The sequence below is a fragment of the Homo sapiens genome, chromosome 3 (assembly GCF_000001405.40).
Source record: "Homo sapiens chromosome 3, GRCh38.p14 Primary Assembly".
Taxonomy (NCBI): Eukaryota; Metazoa; Chordata; class Mammalia; order Primates; family Hominidae; genus Homo; species Homo sapiens.
Window position 1 is genome coordinate 45,248,125 of NC_000003.12, and position 8,770 is coordinate 45,256,894.

At 41.8% G+C, this 8,770-nt stretch overlaps 1 non-coding gene across 1 annotated transcript; it reads right to left on the reverse strand.

Moving 5' to 3' along the window:
* Positions 1 to 7,284: 7,284 nt before the first annotated feature.
* Positions 7,285 to 7,496, reverse strand: LOC124906378 (small nucleolar RNA U3). Its single transcript, XR_007096342.1, has one exon. It is a non-coding gene; the product is annotated as a small nucleolar RNA U3 (small nucleolar RNA).
* Between the last annotated feature and the right edge of the window lie 1,274 nt (positions 7,497 to 8,770).

Genomic DNA, 8,770 nt, shown 5'->3' on the forward strand with positions numbered 1-8,770 from the left:
TTGGATTAACTGTCCCTGGACCCAGCCTTTGTGCATATGAAGTTCTCTTAAAACATCTTTCGGGACTAGGGAGTCATTTGGGCTACTGGAAATTTACCCACATTGAAGGCAGAGCAGCTGGGAGGAATCACCAACCCTAGCACTGAGTTTCCATTAAACAGGACCATCTTGCATATTCTTTTGTTTTAGATCACTGGTTCACAGCCTTGGCTGCACATGGGCATCTCCTGGGGAGCCTTAAAGAATACTGATTGGAGGGGCTGGGGGATTCCCACCCTTCGAGGTTCTGATGGTTTGACTTAAATCATTTTGGCCTTCCTGGCCTTAGAGTTCACCTGCAGGATTATGTAACCAGGTAGAGAAGTTTCTGGCATTAGAGAGGCCTCGTTGGTGCTGTTAAGAAGGAGAAACCAAATGATGCACTTGCTACCGAGATGTTGAGTCATGCCCAGATCCAGGGCAAACATCACTTCTCTAATCTCTCTGATGACAGCCCAGGCCCCACTGGACCTGAAATTGTTAGGGTGATGATGGGGGTGGGGATGAGGAAGAGAAGAAGGATCAAATGGAAGGAAAGTGTGTGGCCTTGGGAAAGTTGTTTAATATTCCCCAAACAATTAAGGCCTCAATTTTTTAATCTATAAAACTGGGGACAATAATAATACCAAATCCATAGGTTTTCCAGGAGTATAAATGAGAAGAAGAATGTAAGCCATTTAGCACAGCAGTGGGCACATTGTAAGTGCTCGACAAAATCTCATGATCATCATCATTATCACCATCGTTAGAGGTTGTCACAGAAGAAGTATTTGTGACTTTTATAATCCTCAATTAAAATGTGCCCATTTGAGCTTGGCCAGAGAAGTAGCAAGTGACATCACCCAATATGTTTTGAGCCAGAAGGGCCTCTCTTTTCTGAAAACGATTCCAGGGGCCATGATTATAAAAACAAGTTCCTAAGACTAACAGGTTGTAATGGTGAGAGCATCTTGCAAACTAGGTCTAGGTCTGCTTGAAAACACAGGGTAAGGGAAGAGGAAATGTTGGATGACTCCATGCTGGCCTGCTCAAGGCTTGAAAATCAGAGGCAGAGGAATTGTTCCCAAGAAAAATTATAGTTCTCTTTTGTCAATATCATGAAATGTAATAGATTTGAGCCAGAACTCGGGATTTTGTAAAACTGAGAAAAGAAGAAGAAAAATTTCCCAACAGCTGAAAATTTAAATAACCACGGCTCCAAGCACTCCATTTTCTTGAATTTTGATGAACTCCAGGTAAGGTAGATCAAGGATAAAGATAGTTTAATAGGGAAGTCAAGGTTACCCAGTGACACTCCAGGCTGTAATGTGGAAGGAAAATTTAAACCCAACCAAATGGCAGGCATCAGCTGATGACATGACCAATAGGCTGATGTCCAATATTAGCTGGATGATGTCCCAAAACCATTTCCTTTGAGACTGTGTTTGTTCATCTCATAGTGTTTACATTTTGCAGGATTTTAAAAGAATAACCAATCCTTTCATTTGATAGTCAGAGGTGCCCTGTATGTGGCGTCCAGAGTAGTACTGTTCCTATTTAATAGCCATATTGTAGAACACACATTCATGTTTTTTCTTTTTTCCTTTTGAACAAAACCTCAGTTTTGCTTCCATATCTATTTCTGCCTCATGTGACTCAGAAGGTAACCTTATCTCCAGCTCGAAGGGTAGATCCTGATTTGATAACTCCAACCCTTCCCAATGATTAGACATGGACATTTAGACATGGATTTGTGACTCAAATTAGGCCAGTGAGAAGTGAGAGGAAGTTTGTTGGATGTCTCCAAGAAAGTTGTCTTTGCGCCTAAGAAAGAGTCGGCCTGGAAATTTCTGTGTCTGAAAGTGACTCCTGGAACTACTTCTATGACTTTGCTAGTAACCTGGTAATAAAACCAGTTGAGAAAAACAGAGTGGAGCAATGGAAAGAACCTGGATCCTCGATGACCATTTAAGCTACGGAGTATACTGAATGCCACCCAACCTCTGGACCTCCGGGTATGTGAAGGCATAATTTTCTGGATTGCTTGGAGTTTTCTGTTACTTGTGGCCCAAAGCATCCTACATGCTTTAGAGTATTCTGGGATTCAGGGGTTAAGTGAATTGCTTACGTCACCCAGACAGTAAGCAGTAGAGAATAGACTGAAACCTTTACTTCTCCACACCTTGTTCAGCTCTCTGCGTTCCTCTGTCCCAGAGTGACAGTTTTACTTTCCTGAAATTAATCATAGGATATACCATCATTGAACTGAAAGTTTGCATCTCATTCTTGCTCTGGCCAGTTAATAAAACAAAGCCAATAATAATCCCTGGCCTATAGCACAGACAGAGCTTTCACGTCCCCACTGAAACCAAGCACGAGTCCCACATTTGGACAGAAGCTGAGGTCCTGGCTGTCTCCCAGATTTCAAATCTCTGTGATCTCACTGCCTCTGCCATGTCTGCTGAAATGCCTGTCTCATACCTTTTTTCAGCCTAAGCATCATATATTCCAATTTTCAATTGTTCTAACCCATGCAGAATTGGCCCATCTTTGCTTTGTACATCACTGTAGTGTCTTCATGCATTTATCTCATCCTAGGATGTAGTATTTCATGGTGATATTTCTCAGCTGTCGTATAAGGACGCTTTCATCTAGACAACAGTGGTTTAAATAATTAGGGAATTTGTCTCTTCTCTTAATGAGAAGTCCAGAAGTTAGTACTTCCAGGGCTAGTTCACCTGCCCCATCCTGTATCAAGGACCCTGGCCCTTTCCTTCCTTGTGTATTCCTTGCCATGCTTTGTATATTGGCCACATTTCTACTCATCACCTAAAGGAGGCTGCCATTGCCCCAAGCATCATGTCATCACACCATGAGGTCCAGGGCAAGAAAAGAAAGGAGGAAAAAATCCTCTTTTCTCTCTTTTATTTTTCAGAGAACATAATCTCTCTTCAAAGCTACCCAATAATGTACCTAAGGTCACAGAACTGGTAAAATAGTGGAGCCAGGATTTAAGTGTGGACAGTCTGACTCTAGACTGTCCCATAGAAATATAGTGCAAGCCATATGTGGAATTTTAATTTTTTGGCAGCCACGTTTAAAAAGCAAAAGGAAGCAGGTGAAATTAATATATTTAACTGAATATATCCATAAGATTTTTGCACATGTGATCAATATTCAAGTTGTTAATGAGATATTTTACATTTTTTCATACTAAATCTTTGAAATCCACCTCCCGGGTTCAAGCAATTCTCCTGCCTCAGCCTCCTGAGTAGCTGGGACTATAGGTGTGCACCACCACACCCAGCTAATTTTTGTATTTTTTAGTACAGACAGGGTTTCACCATGTTGGCCAGGATGGTCTCGATCTCTTGACCTCGTGATTCGCCCTCCTCAGCCTCCCAAAGTGCTGGGATTACAGGCATGAGCCACCATGCCTGGCCAAGTAGTAGTTTTTTACATTTACATTTAAGCTAATTAAGATTAAAATTAAATAGTCATTTCCTCGGTCACACTAGCCATATTTTGAGTTCTCAGAAGCCACATTTTGACCAGTGGCTACTACTGCGTTGGAAAGCATACTTCTACAACCTTGATGTTTGAGCTCATTTTTAATCAAATTCCCCGTAACCAAGGACACAGTACTGTGTTAGCAAGCGACCACCTCTCTTTAGATGGCGCACAAAATCTACCGCTACAAGACTGGAGACCTGCCTTATAGTTGTTTCCCTGTTTCCAGTCAAGGGAGTCACTCTAATTCTCTGGGCCTCTATTTATTCATTTGTCAAAGAGGGACTATTATCTCAAACATCTCCTCCAGCTCTCAAATGCTGTATTATTTCTCTCTTCTAAAAGAGGAAGGAATGAGGGCATTGGTAAAGCCCTGGGCCTGAAGGTACACACACAAGCTCTCTTCAATAAAATCTGTAAAGAGTGGAATATGTTGCCACTCTTTAGCACCTGCCAACGTGCTGTGGCAATCTGGAGGCGCTTGGTGCTCTCTCCTTTTATGCAGTACTAAGGATCCAGCTAATTCTGTCTCCAGAATCCCCAGAATAAAGACAAAGGGAAGCATTGTCCGAGCTCCGAATTTCAGGTTTTTCCTTCTTATACACTGCATTTTAAACAAGGAAAGGCCTACACAGAGATGGAAACCCCCGTATTACGTTTCTGCAATGGTTTTGTGCCCCTGGCTTCCTGGAGTGGGCTGTGTTCTTTCAGTATAAAAGAAAGGACCTTTCTACTCTCCTGGACACCCGTCTTCTTAGACTGTTTACACTGTGTGATCGTGACTTACAGTCAGAAAGGGGCTTTTGGCTTATTGGATAGCATAAAATCTCTATTCTATTTTAGCTGCAGAGCTGTGAAAGGATGACCAGGGTAGTCAAGTCAAAGTCAAAATACCCATGGAGGCCCAAGGACCAGCAATCCAGATAATAATTGGGTTTGGCCACGGCTTGCCTGCCAAACGGAGGACTTGAGGTGTCAGTGGGGTTAAACTTTAGGGCTCTGTGGGAAGGTCCCAGTTCTCAAAAACAATTCCCTCACTCCTGTGACCTTTTATTATTAGAGGTTCATTTCTTTGGGGTCTATAAGTCAGGCAGAGTGGAAATAGCTTCTTTTACCCACAAATGAGAGGTTCTAGTCTTAAGCTTGATTTGAGAAAAGAGGATAATAAGAAATTGAATGGGAGAAGATGCTAGGAGGAGGCAGGAGGACCCAAAAGCACACTAAAGGAAGATGCTAAAGATTGTCAGCCACTTTATATTACGCTAATACCATACCGGAGCTTATAAGATCAGGAAATACACAAAAAGTTTGTTACCAGTTATGCTCTGCTTAAAGGAAAGACAGGCTAAAAGGAAGCAGAAATGTGTGGTTTCATTTCCTCATTTCTTCAGCCAGCATGGGAATTGGAAGGAAGGTGATTACTTATTTACTCATTCATCTCTTCACCCATTAATTGTGGTAGAGAGCTTTCAAAGATGGCCGTCAATTCCCGCCCTCCCATACATGCCTGCCATTCCTCTCATCAAGAGCTGGGGCTTATTTTCCCCTCTACTTGACTCTGCACTGGCCGGTGACTTGCTTTGACCCCTAGAATGTGGTGGAAGGGATGCTACACGGGTTCCAGGCCCAGCCTTGGGGAGGTTGCACCATGCTGTAAACAAGCTTGAGCTACACTATTGGATGCTGAGAGGCCAGTGGAGAAGGGAGAGGCCATGTGCAGGAGCTCGAGGGGCCAGACTTAGGAGCAAAGCCTCTGAAGCACCCCCTCAGCCAGCCACTGTCTAAGTGCGGGTGAGTGAGTGACCCCCAGCCAACGCCATGTGAAACACAAAAACTGCCCAGCTTGTAACACTCCAAATTCATGACCCACAGAATCATAAAGAATGTAAATTGTTGTGGTGTTAAGCCACTACATTGTGGGATGGTTTCTCATCCAGACATAAACAAATGAACATTTACTGTATGTTTTTGGCAGCTATATTTAAAGGGATTCCTTTTTATTCCAGTTTTCTAAACTAGATTTTTAATCATAAAAAATTGTTGACATTGGTTAAATGACTTTTTGCCTTTATTGAAATGATCATGTGATTACTTTTCTTCTTTAGTTCATTAATCTTTAATTTGTTCAGAAATTTTTTTTTTTTTTTGAGTCAGAGTTTCACTCTTGTTGCCTGGTCTGGAGTGCAATGGCGTGATCTCGGCTCACTGCAACCTCCACCGACCGGGTTCAAGAGATTCTCCTGACTCAGCCTCCAAGTAGCTGGGATTACAGGCATGCACCACAACGCCCAGCTAATTTTGTATTTTTAGTAGAGACGTGGTTTCTCCATTTTGGTCAGGCTGGTCTCAAACTCCCGACCTCAGGTGATCTGCCTGCCTCGGCCTCCCAAAGTGTAGAAATTACAGGCGTGAGCCACTGTGCCTGGCCTTGTTCTGCATTTTTTATAGTTTTTCAGTGGGAGTCCTTGCATATCTTTCATTAAATTTATTCCTAAATATTTAATGTTTTTGATGCTTTTATAAACAGTATATATTTAAAAATTTTTCTAATTGTCTATAACAGTATAGTTGAATAAAAGTGATTTTTGTATATGATTTTGTATTCTGTGACTGCTAAATTCAGCTACTAGTTTTAGTCATTTTTAAAAAATCCTCAAGATTTTCTGTATACACAATTATATTGTCTACAAATAGAGATGGTTTTACTACTTTCTGTCCAATATTTTTAGGTTTTATTTATTTTTCTTACTTTGTTGAACTTGCTATGACCTCTAGGGAAATGGTGAATAAAAGTGGTAAGAGCAGACATCCCTGCCTTTTTCCTGCTCTTAGGGGAAAGCATTCATTCTTTCATCATTACATATAATGTTAGCTTTAAGTGTTTCATAGGTGCTCTTTATAAGGTTAAGAAAGTTGCCTTCTAGTCATAATTTACCAGAAGTTTTTACTATGAATGAGTGTTGAATTTGTCAAATACTTTTTCTTCATTCATGATCTGATCGTGTTTCCTCCTTTCCTCTGTGAATGGGATGCATTACTACGTAGCTGGCCACCCCCAAGATGGTCTCCTGTAATCCCCTCCTCCTGGTATTCATGCCTCTGTGTAATTCCCTCTCCTTGAGAATGACCTGAATTTACTGACCCATTTATAACAAATACAATGTGGCTGGGATGGTGGCATGTCACTCTTGAGATTTAAGTTATAAAAAGACTGTGGCTTCCATTTTGTGTGATTTCCTTTACTCATTTGCTCTGAGAAGAGTCAGCCACCATGTCGTGAGCTGCACTGTGGAGAGGTCCACGTGGCGTGGAATTGAGGGAGGCCTTTGGCCAGAAACCAGAAAAGAACTGAGGGCTTCAGTCCAACAGCCACAAGGAACTGGATCTTGCCAACAGCAAGATGCAGTGATCTTGGAAGCCGACCCTCCCACAGTGTAGTCTTCAGACGAGACCACCACCTCAGCTTACACTTGGCAGCCTCATGACAGACCCTGTGCCGGATAACCCAGTTAAATATCACTTGGATTTCTTGCCCACAGAAACAGTGAGACAATAAATGTTTATTGCTTTAGGATGCCAAATTTTGAAGATGATTCCTTTATATGGCAATAGATAACTAATAAGTACATTGGTTAACTTTTTCACGTGAAATAAATCTTGCACTTGGCCATGATATGTTATCCTTTTACACATTGTTATATTTGATTTACCAATTTTTTAAAAAAATCTTTTCTTTTTTTTTTAAATAAAATGGGAACCACTCAAACTGTGTCCTCTCCCTCTTACTCTCCCAGAGGAAGAGAACGATCATCAATGGCAAATGACAGTTGCAATGAAACAACACCAAGAGCCGGCTTCATGGTCAAGAGAGAATGCTGCGCCTCCTCCTCGTGGTTTCCAGTGTTCTACACATCTAAAAAAACTTCTCTAGTAACAACCTATGGAATGATCCCTGAAAGTATACAATTTTGTGGTGGTGGGCAGGGGGGCGGAGTTTTGTTCTTGTTGCCCAGGCTGGAGAGAAGTGGCGCTATCTTGGCTCACTGCAACCTCTACCTCCTGGGTTCAAGTGATTCTCCTGCCTCAGCCTCTGGAGTAGCTGGGATTACAGGCACCTGCCACCACACCTGGCTAATTTTTTGTATTTCTAGTAGAGAGGGGGTTTCACCATGTTGGCCAGGCTGGTCTTGAACTTCTGACCTCAGGTGATCCACCCACCTTGGCCTCCCGAAGTGCTGGGATTACAGGCGTGAGCCACTGCACCCAGCTGATATACCAATTTTTTAAAAAGGATTTTCTGTCTAGGTTCATGATGGCTATCAGTCTGCATTTTTTTTAATGTCTCTGTCAGGTTTTGATGTTGGGGATATACTAGCCTCATACAATGAAATCCCTTCTCCTCTATTTTTTGAAAGAGTTTATGTAAGATTCACATTATTGCTTCCCTACTTTTTTTTTTTTTTCTTGAGACAGGGTCTTGCTCTGTCACCCAGATTGGAGTGCAGTGGCATGTTCGTGGCTCACTGCAGCCTCAGCCTCCTGGGCTTAAGCAGTCCTCTAGCCTCAACCTTTCAAGTATCTAGAACTGCAGATACATACCACTACACACCGCTAATTAAAAAAAAAAAACAAAAAAAACCTTTTTTGTAAAGACAAGGTCTTGTTATGTTTAGCCCAGGCTGGTCTCACAATCCTGGCCTCAAGTGATCCTCCTGCCTCAGCCTTCCAAAGTGCTGGGATTACAGGCATGAATCACCACGCTGGCTCTCTTTAAATTTTTGGTAGAATTCACCAGTGAGCCTGGAGTTTTCTTTGTGGTAGCTTTTTAAAAATTCGTAAATTCAATCCTTTTATAGATACAAGGCTATTTAGATTTCGTTTTTTTTCTTAGGTCACTTTTTTTTCCTTCTCTAGCTTTAAAGACCAAAAGAAAAAATATATATGGGCGGATTATCTATTGTAAGGCCATCATGGCATAACAGGGGTGCCCAAAGCTGCTGAGCATACTAGGACTGTGCACCTTCAAAGGAGTGTGTTATGTAGAAATGCATTAGCAGAAAAAAGTTCAAGGAACCAAGATGGTGGGGAAAGACAGCATGGATGAGAGAGTGGTGTTGGAGCAGAAGGGTGAAACAGATTTAGGAGCTTTAGGGTGCTTGAGAATAGAGAACAAGAAACTTTAATGAGTTGTTATGGCCTAAGTTGGACTCCCTTAAATTTTTGAAAGAAACATGAATTAAGA